Raw genomic sequence first — 18,151 nt, 5'->3', positions numbered from 1 at the left:
AACCAGGACATCTGGCTTTTGCCTGTTAACTGACTGTGTGACCCTTGGGAAGTTACTTCTGCTTTTTGGGTTTCTTCATTTGAACAATGAATGGAGGACTAGGTAATTGGTATGCTTTTCAAACATTGGAGAGATTTTCCACACCAACATTCTAGAGGCTAGCTCCAGACATCCTCTTGTGCCCCTTCTCTCTCATGAAAAATGTCCAGTACTGCTGATATAGTTTGGATGTGTGTCCCCACCCAAATCTCATATTGAAATGTAATCCCCAATCTTGGAGGTGGGGCCTAGTGGGAGGTGACTGGATCATGGGGGTGCATTTCTCATGAATGGTTTAACAGCATTCCACTTGGTACTGTCCTCTTGAGTGTTCTTGTGAGATCTGGGTGTTTAAAACGTGTGTGGCACCTCCTCCTGCGCCCCCTTGCTCCTACTCTGGCCACATAAGATGTGTCTGCTTCCCCTTTGCCTTTCCACTATGATTGTAAGTTTCCTGAGGCCTCCCCAGAAGCAGAAGCTACTATGCTTCCTGTATAGCCTGCAGAACTGTGAGCCAATTAAACCTCTTTTCTTTATAAATTAAATTACCCAGTCTCAGGTATTTCTTTACAGCAATTCGAGAATGGATTAATACAATTGCCAATTTTCCTTTTCTTTTTTTAAAAAATAAAAGCCAAAATAACACTTTTAAGATCCCAGGTTTTAGACAAGGCAGCTGTAGTCTCTCCATCATCCTCACTGTCCATTTGCTTCTTCCTGGGACAGACACTGTGGCCCAGTGAAGCTGAGGGGACCCTGGGATTCAAAGCTGGTGGAATGGACCCTCCCTCCCCCCACAAGCTGTAATAACCTGCTGGAATCCCACACAACCTGAGGGCTTCACTTGTCAACAGCTCCCTTCCCTCAGAGGCTATTTTGAGGCAGGCATTCGGTGTTTTATGACTGAGCTACCCAGGAGAATGGTTTGAGGCCACACTCAACTGTTCCAAGGAGCAGCACTGGACCAAAGGCTGCTTGGTTCCCTGCGGTTCCTGATGCCACCCCTTCTCTTCAGGGTGGTTACCTAGAAGACAACAGTACATGAGGCTTCCAGCCCAGCCCTAGGAGATCCATCCCAAAGACCCCACAGAGACCTGCATGGGAGGTGGGGCCACAGGTCTGGTATCAGGCAAACCTAGGTTGGAACACTGGCTCCATAAAGAGGAAGTCACTTAACCTTCTCTGGGGCATGGTTTCTTCATCTGTTCCCACCTCTGAAGACTATCGTAAGACAGAATGAAAGTTAAGCAACTTAACGCAACGCCCAGGATACCAGAATTATTCTAAATGGCAGAATCCTACTTAGTCTGTCATCTTGGGAGTTCTCTAGGCAGGCAGGTTGCCAGGGGTGGGGCTGAGATCCAGATGTGCTCTAGGTCCCTGTCTGCTGCAGAATCATGTGGCTGCTGGACCTGGGGGTCCCCCAGGTCCTTGCAGGAGCTGAGGGTAGGAGACTCCATTTGCCAAACAACTTAGAACTTTGGGCCTCAGTTTCCTTGTCTTTAAAAGGAACAGGTAAAGAATTCATAAAAACAATTGACAAGGGCTGCCTGGAATTTCCCTGTAATCTCTTCCAGGCAGAGGAGGCCTCAGAGGTGAGAGTAAGAGCAGGAAAACAGGGACAGGTTTCACTCTGTTGCCCAGGTGTGGTGGCTCAGGTCTGTAATCCCAGCACTTTGGGAGGCTGAGATGGGAGGATCGCTTGAGGCCAGGAGTTTGAGATCAGCCTGGGCAACACAGTGAGACCCATCTCTGCCAAAAAAATAAAACAATAAACCAGGCATGGTGGTACATACCTGTTAGTCTTAGCTACTCGGGAGGCTGAGGCAGGAGGACTGATTGATCCCAGGAGTTCAAGGCTGCAGTAAGCTGTGCCTGGGTGACAGAGCAAGACCCTGTCTCTCAAGAAAAAAAAAAAAAAAAAAAAAAGGCTGGGCGTGGTGGCTCATGCCTGTAACCCCAGCACTTTGGGAGGCTGAGGCAGGTGGATCATGAGGTCAGGAGATTGAGACCATCCTGGCCAACATGGCAAAACCCCGTCTCTATTAAAGAATGCAAAAAATTAGCCGGATGTGGTGGCACACGCCTGTAGTCCCAGCTACTCAGGGGACTTGCTTGAACCTGGGAGCGGGAGGTTGCAGTGAGCCGAGATCACACCACTGCACTCCAGCGTGGCAACAGAGCAAGACTCTGTCTCAAAAAGAAGAAACAAACAAACAACAAAAAAAACAGCACAGAAGGGTGGTGCTGTGGGCAGAGGGGTATTTCCAGTGGATGGGCTGTTACTGTTTTCTCAGGTTGGTCAAGATCACAGGCCCATGGAATGCTGGGGCCAGAAGGCACTAAGGCCACAGCATCAACATCTACTTCCCAGAGCATAACACCAAGGCCCAGAGCAACTGGGTAATGTGCTGGGAGCTACAATGAGTTTGAGGCAGAGTCTGGGCTAAAACCCATGTCTCCAGACGGGTTTAGGGAGGATCTTAGAAGTTTTAGAAAACATAATGCTTAGTTATGGCTGGGTGTGGTGTCTCACGCCTGTAATCCCAGCACTTTGGGAGGCCGAGGCAGGCAGATCACCTGAGGTCAGGAGTTTGAGACCAGCCTGGCCAACATGGTGAAACCCCATCTCTATAAAAGTTACCCAGGTGTGTTATGCACCTGTAATCCCAGCTACTCGGGAGGCTGAGGCAGGAGAATCATTTGAACCTGGGAGGCAGAGGTTGTAGTGAGCCGCCGAGATCGTGCCACTGCACTCCAGCCTGGGCGACAGAGCGAGACTCTGTCTCAAAAAAAAAAAAAGAAAATATAATGCTTAGTTCTGGTTTAAATTTGCTCACTGACTTTTCTTCTTTGAAGAATCAAATCTAGCTTATGACTCATAAACTAGATAACTATGATAATCTAGTTTATGATTCAGATACACTACGGTGGTAAATTCCTACAATTCAACTTCATGATTTAGCTCTAGTGCTGTAGGAGGGGTCCAGAGAGCTGAGGTCTGCCACTGCACTCAGGCTTGTGGGGGCTGGGTAACACCACCCTGCAGGTGGTAGTGAGAAAAAGAGGACTTGGGTGTTGTTATCTTCTGTGGCAGCAGCTGCCCTGGGGGTTCTGCAGGGAGGGGACAGGGTGAGGCCTTGGGGATAGGGCATTCGGGGCCCACCAGCCTGTGTGGCCTCAGTCTCAGGGAGAAGGAGCACCCGGGTGGCAGTAGAAGCCTCCAGGGAACCTCAGCTGGCATCATTGATGGGAGTGCGGGTGCCACCCAGCAGTCTCTCCTGCTCGCTCTCCTCTGCCAGGGGCCGGCCCCTGGACAGGCGGCCCAGCAGCGGACGGTGTAGCCCATTGTAGAGGGCAGTGCCTATAAGGAGTATGAGGAAGCCAAGGATCTGCAGTGCATGGAAGGCCTCCCAGCCCAGTGCCAGGCTCAGTGCCCAGATGACAACGGTGCGCAAGCTGTCCAACACCATGCGGGTGGTGGCGCTCAGTTCCTTGGTGACGCTGATGCCTGCGAAGTTGAAGAAGGCAATGCTGCTGATGTTGCCCAGCAGTGCCACGGCAATGAGCGGCTGCTGGCCCACCTGGCAGAAGGCGTCCAATGCATCCTCCAGTGTCCCACGAGGGTTTCCGCTGAAGGAGCCGGCGGGGATGTAGTACATGGGCACCAGCAGCAGGGAGAGGATCACAAAGCCAAAGAGGCCTGGGGAGTAGAGGAAACAGTTACACTCTCCACCTTCCCCCAGACCCCCAGCACAGCCCACCGGCTTAGCCTCCTCTGATCTCGGGTCATTCCCTCCCAGTGGTCCTCATGCCAGCTCCCTCCTTTCACGTCCCTCAGTCTCTCATCAGGAGCTTGTGGCCTATTAGATGGGTTCTAGCTGTCCCTTCTCCACTTTTACTCAGGGTTTTTTTGACTGGATCAAGAGTAAGAAATACATTTTATATTGTGACCCAGTACACGTGTGCACAGGTTCATGGACACACACACACACACACACTCATAAAAACATTACCCTTACAGTATACAATGCTCTGATATTTAAAAATTCTATTCATTTAAAAAAAGAACTGCCAGCTGCAACTGACTACATTATTTTCACAAGTTTGGAAAAACACAGCTTTCTAGTTCAGTGTGTTACTGGTCTGTGACAAGGAGCTTGCGCCAGAAGGTAAGTCCATGCACTGCTTCACTCATTAAGGTCTTGCTAGAAAACAGAAATGAGTGGAAATAGACTGCATGCTCAGTGATATAGCTAATTCACATTCTGCCTAAGTCCCTTAGCTCACCGGGGGCCAGACAAGAGCTGCTCCCCAACAGGCACTAGCCCCCAGGACATTCTTTGAAAGCGCAGCTGTATCTTGCTAATCTCATAATTTTGATACTTACTTCCCTGCTCAAAAACTTTCAGTGATTCCTCCGTCATTTAAAGTCTAAATCTACTTGCCTGATGGTAAAGTTCTCTAATGACATGACCCTGACCTACTTAATTCCTGATTATTTCCCCAACATCAAACCTATACTGCACTCAAATTATTATTTTTTGAGATGGAGTCTCGTTCTGTTGCCCAGGCTGGAGTGCGGTGGCGCAATCTCGGCTTGCTGCAGCCTCTGCTCCCCCAGTTCAGGCGATTCTCCTGTCTCAGTCTCCTGAGTAGCTGGGACTACAGGCATGCGCCACCACGCCCAGCTAATTTTTGTATTTTTTGTAGAGACGGTTTTGCCATGTTGGGCAGGCTGGTTTCAAACTCCTGACCTCAAGTGATCCACCCGCTTTGGTCTCTCAAAAGTGCTGGGATTACAGGTATGAGCCACCGCACCTGGCCACACTCAAAATTATTCCTCACTGGTTTTCAAATTCACATCCAGTCCCCTGTGCCTTTGCTCTGTTTGGAGCTGCTCCTACTACTGCCTGTTGAAATTTGCAGCTCGAATGCCACCCTCCCTGCCCTGAGAGACTCAGATAGGCATGGCCAATGAGACATCAGTTGAGCACAAGTGGTCCAAACTTGAATTCACTGACTGCCCTTTCTTCCTGCTGGTCACCTCCTCTGAAGGGCTTGCATCTCATTCATCTCTGTCCTTGGTCTCCTCTAGTTCCTGACACAGCAGGTGTCAGAAGACTTGTCAAAACACATCTGGAAGGCAAGGCGGGGCAGGAAGTTCACCCCCCACAAGTGAACCCTGGCACCTTGTCCTGTGCTCAGCTCCCCAGGCTCCCTTCTACCCCACTCCTTCCAGGCCCCTGTGCCCACACACACCCTCAGTGCCAACTGCCCGCAGTGGGTGCACATTGTGTTTGTAGACGAACTTCTCCTCTAGCACCATCTGGATGGCAACGATGATCTGGGCCATGATGATCAACAGGTCCCCTGTGGGGAAGGAGGGACCCAGATGAGAACAGGGCTGCACTGGGGCTGGGGGCCAGGAGAGCATGGCCACAGCGACCAAACATGCCAGCCCCTGACCTCTGCAGGGCCCCCTATAGTTCATAGGCACAGTCACCACTGCCTGTCCCTGATTCCCTGGTTCCTGAGGGGCATGCCAGCAGTGCCAGGCTAAGGCCCCAGAGGCCTGCCTGTGTCTAAGAGCTGCCCCACGGGGTATGACGCAGGTCTTTCAAGAAGCAACAGGCTTTGAGATAGACATTTCTTGGTTGATCCTGACCCTAAGTGACCCAGGACAGTCATTTCATTGTAAAATGGGCTGTGATGCATCCGTTTGGGGCCTGTGGGAGTCACTGTGATGATGAACACACAGTGCTCAGCACCAGGCTGGGCACTTGGTAAGCACCTGTTCCTTTCCACTCCCAAATCCAGTAGTTTGCATGTCTGCATCTGTATCAAAGGACAAGCCAGCCCCTCGCCCTGCCCGGCCTGCCACTCATCCTTGGTGGAGCCACATCCCTTTGCAGTCTTCCCTACATTCTATCCATCACCTCCAGAGCTACCCACCTCACCCAGGGCTTGGTATATGGCACATGGCAGAGCTTGTATGAGTCTGTGCTGGGCTCCCAAGGAGGACAGGGCAGGATAGGGCAGCCCCGTGTCCCTGCCCCTGGCCGCACCTGTGATCACTTCGCTGAGCTTGTGCTGACTGTCGTGCTTGCTCAGGAGGTCAGCCAGGCCCACGACCACCAGCCCCGCGATGGTGGCTAGGATGCCCAGCCACTGGCTCAGCACCAGCCTCCGGCCCAGGAAGGCCACCGAGAACAGGCCAGTGAATATGATCACTGCACCCCGCAGCATCTGGAAGCTGGAGGCACTGGTCATGTTCAGAGCTAGGAAAGGAGAAACAAATTACAGTTAGCTTCCCAAGGCGAAGGCCATCTGTCACTAAGGGGTCTTTGGTGATAGACATGCCAAGCTCATAGTAAGCGCTCGATCAGTCCTGCCTGTGTGCCTGTGCGTGTGAAGTCTGGGGGAATGGTGGGATGAAGTGGAGGTGGGTGGGATAGGGCTGTTTCACCAGTAGCCCCTTCAGCCACAGCTTCCCCTGAGCCCTTCTCAGCCTGGCCTGGTTACTCACCCACATACATGAGGCTGGTCCCTGTCATGTCACAGAGCGCTGGGGGCAGGAAAAGAAGAGGGTTGAAGGGCTGCTGGGGGTCTACGCTGGAGTCTGATTGCCCTGCAGCTCTGCATCGGAGGAGGTAGAAGGCAGCCAGGCAGGAGAATTCTCCCAGGAACATGCCCACTGCCTGCAGGGATGAAAACCCGAGGACTTCAGAGCTGGAAGGGATCTCGGGGATCATCTTTAACTATTTTTTTTAATGCAAACTTTTGTCAAACAAGAGCTTACCCAGAACCCCAATATGTAAAATAGACAAATGCAGAGCTGCCATGGAGGCTAGAGACAGCCTCCTAGGTCTGCCCCAAAGCCCCCATACATCCTGATGAACCCTAAGGCTGTGCAGAGCCCTGTCTGAAAACCATCCATCTAGGCCAACCCCTAGTCAAATCGCAGGTGGAGAAGCCTAGACCCAAGAGAGGCTCAAAGACTTATGTAAGGCCACAAAGCAAGTTGCTGGTAGAGCTGGGGCTGACATTTGAGTCTCCTGATTCTCAGTTCAACGAACAGTGTCTTCCATTTATGGTGTCTGCCCTGTCCCAATTGGGGTCTGGGCTCCCAGTGGATAGAGAGCTGACTTTTGTCACTAGGGCTGATGTTTTCCACGTGTCCTGACTTGGATGTGGTGAGGACATGACCACTTGCCAGGACTTTCGCAGAGGATGGTGCTCTTTGCCCTATTCTAAACCTTGGATTCTGCTCTGGGGAGGGAAAGAGAGAAGTGGATGGCTCTTCTGGGAGCAGGAGACACCTCCACTCCTAAGTCAGGAAACAGCCTGGCCTCATGGCCGGGGGTGGCGCCTGGTCTGAGGCCCGGGAGACAGGAGGTAGGAGGGACAGGGCCAGATACCTGGAGGAAGGGATGCTGGAAGCTGTGCTCCTTGCTCCCTCCACAGCCCTCGGCCATGAAATTGTCCGCCCATCTGTAGGAGAGAGAGGGAAGGTCAGACCCTGTCAGCATCCTACCCTGGTGCTAGTGAAGAGGCTCACACCTCTCAATGTCAAGAGGCCCAGACCTGGGTGACCCGGCCCCAGAGTGGGGCTCCCTCTCAAAGGGGTCAGTCTTCACCTCAAGGAGTTTTAACTTGGCATTTCCTCAAGTCACTGTGTCTGTGCCTCTGTAATGCACAGAAATCACAGATACTCTCATGATCACATTACAGTCATTGTATATATCGTGAGGTATCATTTACACTCATCACTCATGAACATTACAGTAGTCAGACCCACTTATAACAATGTAGTAGAAAGCATTTCTATATAGCTGGGCGCAGTGGCTCACGCCTGTAATCCCGACACTTTGGGAGGCTGAGGTGGGTGGATCACTTGACGTCTGGAGTTCGAGACCGCCTGGCCAACATGGTGAAACCCCGTCTCTACTAAAAATACAAAAATTAGCCGGGCGTGGTGGTACAAGCCTGTAATCCCAGCTACTCAGGAGGCTGAGGCATGAGACTCACTTGAACCTGGGGGACAGAGGCTGCAGTGAGCCGATATTGCACCACTGCACTCCAGCCTAGGTGATGGAGCAAGATCCTGTCTCAGAAAAAAAAAAAAAAAGCATATCTATATATATTCTATATCACGAATTTGCTTTTTTAAGTGTTTGATAACTGTATTTCAATTTAATTGACTTCTTTTGTAATCCTTGGTCTTTTTTTTTTTTTTTTCTTAATGGAGTCTCGCTCTGTCGCCCAGGCTGGAGTGCAGTGGCAAGATCTCGGCTCACTGCAAGCTCCGTCTCCCGGGTTCACGCCATTCTCCTGCCTCAGCCTCCTGAGCAGCTGGGACTACAGGCGCCCGACACCACGCCTGGCTAATTTTTTTTTGTATTTTTAGTAGAGACGGTGTTTCACCGTGTTAGCCAGGATGGTCTCAATCTCCTGACCTTGTGAACCACCCTCCTCAGCCTCCCAACGTGCTGGAATTACAGGCGTGAGCCACCGTGCCTGGCCCAATCCTTGGTCTTATTTACACGTTTTAAAACATTACTGTAAGAAGAGGTCCATAGGCTGTGCCAGACTGTCAAAGAGTCCCATGGCATGAAAAATATCAAGAACCTCTGGTCTACAGGAGTATTTGGGTCCTGGGAAATGACTTAATACAGACCACCTGCTCACCTTCAAAAAGCCTGAATGGTTTGGAAGATCTTTCTAATGCTGACTTTCAAGCAGGTGGCAAAGACATCACACTCATGGCATGACCTCCCAGTCAGCACCCGGCAGATGGTGATGACTGATTATGACATACTTCCCCGATGAGCCTAGACACAAGCCCAGAATCCTTTGTGGCATAGTGCTTTGGGCAGCTTAACCACCAATCACTCTGAACTGTCTGCCATCTGTGCATGAAAATTCTCTGTCTTGAATTTCGTCTTTGCTGGGCTTGGTTAGGTCTGTGGAATCTTGTCTAATCTTTCATTTGAAAGCCCTTTAGGTACCTGGGGACTTGTTGACCTTCTTCTGAATCTTCTCATCTCCTGGCTAAACAGCTCCAGCCTCTCCTAACCTTTCACCCCTGGCCACTGACTTCTGGAAGTACTCTGGTGTACCCAGGCCCAGAGCCAAGAGCATGTGATCTGGCCCAGACTGAGGCTAGCAAGGCGTGGCCCTCCCTCATGTTGACACCCTGGGTTCGTTGACACAGCTCCAAATGCATCAGTAACATCATGTGCTGACTGAAGTCAACACAGTCCCAGAGCCGTTTCCTGTGGGCCACCGACCTGCTCCCACTGCAGCATATCCTGCATAGGCAGTGGATGTCTTTAAAGTGCAAGACTCGGGACTTCTTTTTATTAAATGCCTTTCCTTGAAATGTCTTTCCAGGGCAGTCAGATTGCAGTGCACAGCCCTGCACTGCCATTGGCTCATCTCTGTAGCGAGCCTCAGCTCCCAAAGGGCGGGGGAGTCCTCTGGTTCCTGTACCTCCCCCGCAGCACCCAGAGCATGTGCCACTGGTTGTGCCGCAGTTAGGGTCTAGGTTTGACAAAGTCCCTGTCCAGCTTTGGCTTCTCTATATGCCTCTGAGTTTGCGGAAGAAAACAGGGCTATGGCAAACCTATTCCATAGTGAGAGACCCCACCAGCTCCTGGAGATGTGGAGAAAGAGGGGTAGTTAAGATTCCTTGTGGTTCTTGGGAATGGCAGGGGCAAAGGAGAGTTGAAGGGAGAAGTTCGGACAGAACTGTTTAGAAGGCAGAGAGAAACCTGGAGCCTGGCATGGCTTGGGGACCAGGCTGTAACCAGTACCAGTGGGGCAAAGAAAGCGCCTGCTATGGAACAGGGAGTCTGGGAGCTGGGGAAGCCTCCACCCCAGGTCAGGAAACACCTGACCTCATGGGCTGGAGTCTCACTTCTTTCTCTTTTTTTTTTTAGAGAGAGGGTCTCACTATGTTGCCATGGCTGGTCTTGAACTCCTGGGCTCAAGCAATCCTCCCGCCTCAGCCTCCTGAGTTGCTGAGATTATAGGCATGAGCCACTGCACCCATGGTGCCTAATTTCTGCCTGATATGCTGTTGGCTCTTGGATCCCTGGCCAGGACAGGACATGGAACATGGGTAAGGGCCACAGACCCAGCAGGGCTGCTCTCGAACCCAGTCTTGCTTTTGCAGAAAGAGCCCCCTGAGAAGGCCTGCATGAGGCAACTGAGTGAAACAGAGGCAAAGCAAGGAAGAGAGAAGAGGTCAAGCCTTACCAAGGGCACAGAGCCAACTGCCCAGAGCAAGTGAAGTCAGAGAGATGGGAATCCCCAGGCCAGGAGCCAAGTTTCCTCTAGGAGGGACAAGGGAGCTATTGCCAGGCCATGAAGGTTGATCAGAAGCTTCAGGCAAGGATTATTATTTATTTTATTATTATTTTTGTCTGTAGGGGGCAGGTATGGAAGCTGAGGCCACATTTCCATGAGTCCTACTTCCCACCTGAGTCTGAGGGCCCCCTGCTGGTAGAACAAGTTGGTCCATAGGGGAAACCCCTCGGGGCCTGTCCTTCCCCAAGGCTGGGGCGCTTCTTGGGGAGCTGACTGTAGGGCTGGTGCTGAGCTCCCCACCTCCCACAGGGGTTGTCTTCGCTTTCTCCACGGGTAGGTCTGCCTAGACAGGCCTGGCTGGCAGCGCTCCCGGCTGGGGAAATGGTATCTCTTTGTATCTGAGGGCCTGGGGCAGGCTGACAGCCCAAGGGATTGGGTGTCAGCAGCATGGGCTGCCTTGCCCAGCCTGAGATGCTCAGGCCTGCAGGTACCTTGGGGCAGAAAGCCAGGCTTCTCATCCTGGATTGGAGACAGGTTTCGACTCCTGGCGCAGAATCAGAAAAGACCCCAGCCTCACAGGCTAGAACAAAAATCCAGCCCCAGTTTGCCTGGGGATGACAGCAGTGACCCCTAAGGTGGGCAGCACTTTGCTGTCAGTTCTTCACAACGTTTGTTGTTTGTTGTCTTTTGTTTTTGTTCTTGTTTTTTTTTTTGAAACGGAGCCTCCCTCTGTCACCCAGGCTGGAGTGTAGCAGCGCGATCTTGGCTCACTGCAACCTCTGCTTTCCAGGTTCAAGTGATTCTCCTGCCTTAACCTCCCAAGTAGCTGGGATTACGGGCACCCACCACCATGCCCAGCTAATTTTTATATTTTTTGTAGAGACGGAGTTTCACCATGTTGGCCAGGATGGTCTCGAACTCCTGACCTCAAGTGATCCACCCGTATCAATCTCCCAAAGTGATCGGATTACAGGTATAAGCCTCTGCGTCCGGCCAACAACGTTTGTTTTTTTGTTTTGTTTTTCAGACAGGGTATTACTCTGTCACTGAGGCTGGAGTGCAGTGGCACAATCACGGCTCACTACAGCCTCAGCCTCCCAAGGCTCATATGATCCTCTCACCTCAGCCTCCTGAGTAGCTGGGACTACAGGCATGGGCCACCATGCCCGGCTAATTTTTGTATTTTTTGCAAAGATGCAGCCTTGTTTATGCTGCCCAGGCTAGTCTCGAACTCCTGGCCTCAAGAGATTGACCTGCCTCAGCCTCCCGAAGTGCTGGGATTACAGGTGTGAGCCACTGCACCCAGCCCATGTTTCCTTAAATGCACAATTCATAGGACACTTCATGGGGACTGTCCCGTTAAGCCTTACAACAAGGATCCTCATTTTAGATGGGGACTCTGAGGCTTAAGGCAGATCCAGGGTTAAACCTTGCTTGAATTTATACTCAGAAAAGGCAGAATACAGAGAAAACCCAGAGTTTTGAGTCCCACAGGCTGGACAAGTTACAGGGTAATCATACCAACACTGACAAACTGTCAGAAGCAATACATGATATAAGGATATATACATGACCTGGCACATGGCAGGTATTCAGCAAAACTCATTTTCTGCCCCTTCTCCTTTCCCTTCACTGAGCAGAAGCCATCTCCCCCTTGGGTTCAGCGTGGCCCCAGCTCCCCTTCAGCCTGAAAGCTACTGGAAAAACGTCTGGAACCTGTCCTGCTGGCTGAGGCAGAGGTGGCTGGAGGGACCTCAGGCTATTGTCCCTGCAGTTCACAGAGCCAAAATGCTGAAACAGAAGAAACTCAGCCATCAGCTGAACTCCTTATTTGACAGACAGGAACCCAGGGGCCAGAGAGGGCTCGAGGGGCTCACGGCTCCTCAGATGTTGAAACAGGGCCAGTACACTGGAAGCTCAGCAGGCAGTCATGCGCCCCCTCCCTGATGCTCTGAAGCTCTCCTCTGAGTTCTTGCTCCCCTAGCTGGTGGGAGGAGAGGGGCAGCCCAGTAGGTGGGCCTGTCTTCTCCACAGACACTGTATTCTAGGGGAGATGACCTCCAGGGCAGGAGGCCCGAAGGGTCCTAGCGGGGACAAGCTGAGGCCGCTCCTTTTGGCGGGCAGGCTGGGGAGTAGGCTCTCCGTGCTGGGTGGTGAGTCACTCCCTAGCATGGCCAGGCCCAAACTCAAAGCTCAGCATTCTGGGAGGTGTGCACGTCCACGTGAACGGGGGTGGCGAAAACAGACTGAGGAAGTGGCGATGGGGCTGGCTTGGGCAGATTAGCTGTGGCCATTCCCACAGAATCTCTGCCACTTCCTCTTGTGTCCCCAGCTTGTCAAGCCCAGTGAGTCCCCTTCTTTCTCCTGCCTGGGACCTACAGAAGGGCCAAGGCTTCTCCACTCTCTGGGGTGCCACAGCAGGTGGCCCTGGCTCCTGAGGTGACAATGGTGAGCCCTCTCATCTCCATGGAATGGAAAACTTTCCTTAAGCTGGGTGTGGTGGTGCATGCCTGTAATCCCAACACTTTGGGAGGCTGAGGCAGGTGGATTGCTTGAGCCCAGGAGTTTGAGACCAGCCTAGGAAACATGGCAAGACGCTGTCTCTACAAAAAATACAAAAATTAGGTGGGCACGGTGGCGGGTGTCTGTGGTCCCATCTACTTGGGAGGCTGAGGTGGGAGGATGGCTCAAGGTTGCAGTGAGCCTAGATGGCACCATTGCACTCCAGCCTGGGCAACAGAGAGAGACCGTGTCTTAAAAAAAAAAAAAAAAAAGGCTGGGCACAGTGGCTCATGCCTGTAATCCCAGCACTTTGGGAGGCCGAGATGGGCGAGGTCAGGAGATCGAGACCATCCTGGCTAACACAATGAAACCCTGTCTCTACTAAAAAAATACAAAAAAATTATCCGGGCATGGTGGCAGGCACCTGTAGTCCCAGTTACTCAGGAGGCTGAGGCATGAGAATGCGTTCACCCGGGAGGCGGAGCTTGCAGTGAGCTGAGATCACACCACTGCACTCCAGCCTGGATGACAGAGCCAGACTCCGTCTCAAAAAAAAAAAAAAAAGGAAACCTTCCTCAGTAGATCTTCAGTGTCCAGGAAGAAGGTACGGCAGGGATCACCAAGTCCATTTTACAGATGAGAAAACTGAGGCTCACAGAGGTCCAGTGGCTCATCTATTCCTCAGGTCCCAAGCCTCATGAACTTCCCACTCTACTACACTGTCCTCCTGAGTTAAGGCTTCCACAAGCTGGCCCAACAACCCCTTTGAAGCAATTATCCCATGCCAGTTCATGGAACCCAAGGGTGGTGGGGCAGCTGCCAAGGGCAAACATTGGAGCTGGCACAGAAAGGACACAGAAGAAGAGCAAACACCTCTTCTCTAGTAGAGGCCTAGTGGTTTCCAGGCTTCCTGCCACCTTCTTGGCAGGGTCCCTGGCCTGGGCATGAAAGGAAGTCAGGCTCATATCCCTGCCTGGCTGGGAGGGCCCTACAGCCTGCAGAACTTAGGAGGGGAGCTGAGCCTTACTTAGTGAGCATCTACTTGACCCTGGCTCTATTAATTAATTATTTATTATTATTATTTGTAGAGAACGAGGTCTCCCTATGTTGTCCAGGCTGATCTTGAACTCCTGGGCTCAAATGATCATCCCACCTCAGCCTCCAGTCTGGGATTACAAGCTGGAGCCACAGTGCCCAGCTGACCCCGGCTCTTCATATGTAGAACCTCAGTTGGATTCAGGAGACTGGGGTTCTGAAATGAGTACCTGTGGATGGGGCACTGGCTCACGTAGACAGAAATGGCTTGGCCTAAAGAAGATGATCGACAGAAGGTGCTAGTGAGGAGGTTTTGAGAAAACAGCCAGGGAAAGAAGAAGCCACTTCACAGGGAGGGGCCCCCTGCCAGGACCCAGGGATGGGGCCGCAGAGAGGAAAGCTGACCTGCCGCCCCAGCACAGCAGGCAGCACGTGCTCAGATGTGCTTCCTCATCCACTGCCTTTCATCCTCCCAAGAACCTGGGAAGGGAAACATCACTCTTGTCACAGGCCAAGAAACTGCCAGAGACAACCACAGGCTGTCAGTCTGAACCTTGAGTGGCCTGGACTCCAGCGGGAGGACCCTGTCAGCAGTGTCTCTGGGCTGGCTGAGAGGCTGGCAGCCCAGTCCTGGAGAGAGGCACATCAAAGGCTGGGAGCGCAGATGCCACTTACAGGTTTACAACTTCCACAAGCACAGGCTTCTCTGTCCTGGCCTGGGGAGCTGTGAGAGGAAACTCCCAGGAAGGAGGGACTCTGGGGTATCACAGTCATAAAAGAACAGGACTTAAAGTCCTGAGGCCTGGGTTCCAGCCTTCATTCAGACACCAAACAGTTGAATCACAGAAAGAAACTTCTCCTGAGGCCTCCTTTGTAAATTGTGGGGATTAGACTGGATGATTTCTATGCTTTTAACAACTCTAAATGACCCCAAAATGACTGGAGAAGTCCCCAGCCACACCCTCCAGTGGTGGTTAAGAGCATGGATGCTAGAGCCAGACCATGCTGGCTCAACTATAAACTCTGCCACTTAGTAGCTAAGTTGAACTTGGGCAAGGAATTTAATCATTTCCTACCTCAGTTTCCTTATACAGGAATATCAGCCCCTGTCTTTGCCTGATAGGGTGGTTATGAGAATTCCCTGAGTTCACACATGAAAGGGCAGAGCAGGGCCTGGGGCATGCGAGGTGCTCTTTGTGCATGAGATGCTTCTGCTAGTTGTCAGCACATGCTTGTCTGTCTGTGCCTGCTGGAAATCGTGGGTCAAAAATGTGATTTCCTTTTATTTTTTTTTTTGAGACCGAGTCTCACTCTGTCACCCAGGTTGGAGGGCAGTGGTGCAATCTTGGCTCATTGCAACCTCCGCCTCCCGGGTTCAAGCAATTCTCCTGTCTCAGCCTCCCAAGTAGCTGGGACTACAGGTGCGCACTACCACGCCCAGCTAATTTTTGTATTTTTAGTAGAGATGCAGTTTCACCATATTGGTCAGGCTGGTTTCAAACTCCTGACCTCAAGTGATCCAGCCGCTTCTGCCTCCCAAAGTGCTGGGATGACAGGCGTAAGCCACCGCGCCGGGCCAGAAATGTGATTTCAAATCCATACTTCACATCGGGGTGCATGCAGCTGCTCCCACATGTTCTTTCTCCCTAAGAGTATCCCTTCTTGTGGTTTGACCTTAGAACACTGTTTAGGGTCCAATTTGGGGGCCCATCTTGGGGTGGGAGGATCCTGAGAGGCCCCACACCAGCTGTCAGGCAGGGGACAGGACCAAAAGTTGGGTCTGTCACCTGGGAGCCTCTTTCCTGACTCTCAGGCAGCCTTTAAAGGCGACGCCTTCTGGGATTGAGGATCTCTAAGCTTCCTACCTGACTGGTTTGGAGTTTTCTAAGGAAGGAGGTGAATCAGCACAGTTTACCCCAGCAGTAACTGGCAATCTGGATTCTCCTTGTGGGCAGCAGCCCTGGTGGACTTACAACCGCTCTCTAAGCACTTGACAGAGGCCCTGGCTGGCATGACAGAACAGAAGACTTGCTTTGCTGTGTTCAGATCCTGAGATGGGAGCCCTCAGGCTGGGGCCTCTGAACAGCTAAGGATTCAGCATGAGGAGTGATCCTCAGGAGGATGCAGGGCCTGGGAAGCTAGTAGTTCTCCACAAGGCACAGTTGGCCAGAGGTGAACCAGAGGAACAGGTGGGGCCCACCCAGGACTCCACTGACTGTGCCCACCGTTTGGGGAAGGGAGAACACTGTGACTGTCGTGTGCGTACACGTCTGTCTCCTCCACCTCAGATTCCAAGCATCTCAAAGGCAGAGATCGCCTCTTGGTCACTTCTGTCCCCTTCCCTTACACACCGTAGGTACCTTATACATGGGATCGTGCCATTGCACTCCAGCCTGGGCAACAAGAAAAGGAGGGGCAGGAAGGCCCTGCCCTGAGATGGAGACAGAGAGAGACAAAGAAATGCCATCCTGCCCACAACAGAGGGGAGGCTAGGCCCTGTCCCTCAGTCTCATGACTGCCTGGGTCCTTAGTCCCTAACCTCCTGGGAACTGTCCCCCCTCTCACCCCCATACATCAGAGCTGAACTGGCCACTTGCCCTCTCTGTCTGAGTTAATGGCACTTTTCTTCTCCCAGGCAGAAACCCTGGAGTGATCCTTGTTTCTTGCTCATGTGGGTCAGGCCTGTGGCCATTCACACCTGGTCTCTGCCACCAGTTGTCCCTTCCTTTCTCTTCTCACTGCCACCTCCTAGTTCCCCTCATCTGCTATGCAGCAGCCTTGGAGTGGTTTTTCCTGCACCAAACCACTCCTCATGTCATTGAGTCAATCATATCACTTTCAACATGTCATTCCCCAGCTCAAAAGCACTTTTCTGATTATGAGAGAAAATCTAACCTGGGCATTTGATGCTGGTTACAATCGACTTTGATCTGGCCTTTCCGTAGACTTTCCTTGACTTACAGTCTCAGACACATTCCGAAATCCCACCTAAGCTTCAAAGCACAGCTCTAACCCCTCATCCTTGAGGGGCCGTGGGGCACCTCCCTGTCTGCCGCTTGAGGCCTCCACGCTCACTGGGTCACTCGGCCTGCACAGCCACTACTGCGGCTCATGTGCACAAGTCCAGGGGTCTCTCCCAGCTCGTGGAGGGAGGTGCTCAGGCTTGGACGCCAGCACTGGAAGGGCCGTGGAAAGGAATCGGCCAACCCTCCTGTTAAAAGACGTGGAAACAGGAGCGGAGGCTGTACAGCAAATCAAAGCCGGGGCTCGGATCCCCCCGTCCGGGGCGCAGCCCCGCTCCGCATTTCCCCGGGCCTCGCATCCCTTGGGTGGTCATAACGCGCGCGAACTGACCGGAGCAAGTGGGAAAGCAGGGGAAGCCAGGAGGGCAGGGCCAAGAAGGGGGAAGGCGTAGAACGAGCGCCGGGGTCGCCAGGGCCCGCACGCCCGGCAGGGCCCAGACTCACTTTGCCGAGAGCGTGTTGATGGAGCCGGTAACAAGCATGAGCCCGGCCAGGAACAGCTGGTACTTGGTCCAGGCCATGTCGGCGGACGCTGGGGTTCGCTCCAGTTAGCGGCGCCGGGCCCCGTCACCCGGGGTCTCCTGCGCGAGCGCTTCCGGGCCGGGCGTCACGTGACCCCTCCTGCTCGCCCCGCCCCCGGGGAGCGCGCCTGAGCCACGGTGCCCGCGCTCTGCCGAGTCGTCCTGGAGCGCTTTGGTGGCCACGCCGTGGCCCTGGCAAATCACGGCCCAGGCCTTCCAGTTTTTTTTTTCTTTTCTTCCTCACTCTCCCCCGCCTTTTTGGGTTTCTTTTTTCTATTTTTTTGAGAAGGAGTCTCACTCTGTCGCCCAGGCTGGAGTGCAATGGCATGATCTCGGCTCACTGCAATATCCGCCTCCTGGGTTCAAGCGATTCTCCTGCTTCAGCCTCCCGAGTAGCTCGGATTACAGGCGCCCTTCACCACGCCCGGCTAATTTTTTGTATTTTTAGTAGAGACAGGGCTTCACCATGTTGGCCAGGCTGGTCTCGAACTCCCGACCTCAGGTGATCCGCCCTCCTCCGCATCCCAAAGTATTGGGATTACAGGCGTGAACCACCGCGCCTGGCCTTGGTTTCTTATTTTTATCTTTGGGTCTTCCTATTTGTAAAAGGGGCGGATGGGACAGTGCAGTGAGGGTGCATCGTGGCTATTACAGCATTTTGTGAATCGTTTTGAGAGGTTGAGCTGGGCGGTGTCAGAAAGGAGCCCTGAAGTGGGC

The 18,151-nt window shown here is 52.6% G+C and overlaps 1 protein-coding gene across 1 annotated transcript, besides 2 other annotated features; it reads right to left on the bottom strand.

Moving 5' to 3' along the window:
* Nucleotides 1–552: 552 nt before the first annotated feature.
* SLC35F6 (solute carrier family 35 member F6) lies at nucleotides 553–17,500 on the bottom strand. The gene is made up of 6 exons (NM_017877.4): nucleotides 17,358–17,500; nucleotides 7,461–7,533; nucleotides 6,569–6,740; nucleotides 6,108–6,320; nucleotides 5,302–5,412; nucleotides 553–3,742 (listed from the first exon to the last, which is right to left on the bottom strand). Exons 1-6 carry the CDS (start codon nucleotides 17,432–17,434, stop codon nucleotides 3,273–3,275), a joined length of 1,116 nt encoding a protein of 371 aa, NP_060347.2. The 5' UTR covers nucleotides 17,435–17,500; the 3' UTR covers nucleotides 553–3,272.
* Nucleotides 17,324–17,633: a silencer, noted in NCBI's record as "silent region_11276". NCBI's record gives its function as "represses an Ori minimal core promoter by ATAC-STARR-seq in GM12878 lymphoblastoid cells {active_cell/tissue: GM12878}" and the evidence as "EXISTENCE:reporter gene assay evidence [ECO:0000049][PMID:35858748]".
* Nucleotides 17,644–17,843: an enhancer, noted in NCBI's record as "active region_15476". NCBI's record gives its function as "activates an Ori minimal core promoter by ATAC-STARR-seq in GM12878 lymphoblastoid cells {active_cell/tissue: GM12878}" and the evidence as "EXISTENCE:reporter gene assay evidence [ECO:0000049][PMID:35858748]".

Source organism: Homo sapiens, chromosome 2, assembly GCF_000001405.40.
Source record: "Homo sapiens chromosome 2, GRCh38.p14 Primary Assembly".
NCBI classification, from domain to species: domain Eukaryota; kingdom Metazoa; phylum Chordata; class Mammalia; order Primates; family Hominidae; genus Homo; species Homo sapiens.
Note: the sequence above shows the minus strand (reverse complement) of the source record. Positions and strands in the feature narration are given on the sequence as shown.

Coding starts and splice junctions, on each gene's coding strand:
- SLC35F6 (NM_017877.4), bottom strand. CDS start 17,434: ATGGCCTGGACCAAGTACCAGCTGTTCCTGGCCGGGCTCATGCTTGTT. Junction 5,413..6,107: donor GCTCAGCGAAGTGATCACAG/GTGCGGCCAGGG, acceptor CCTTCCCCACAG/GGGACCTGTTGATCATCATG. Junction 3,743..5,301: donor GCGGGCAGTTGGCACTGAGG/GTGTGTGTGGGC, acceptor TCTACTCCCCAG/GCCTCTTTGGCTTTGTGATC.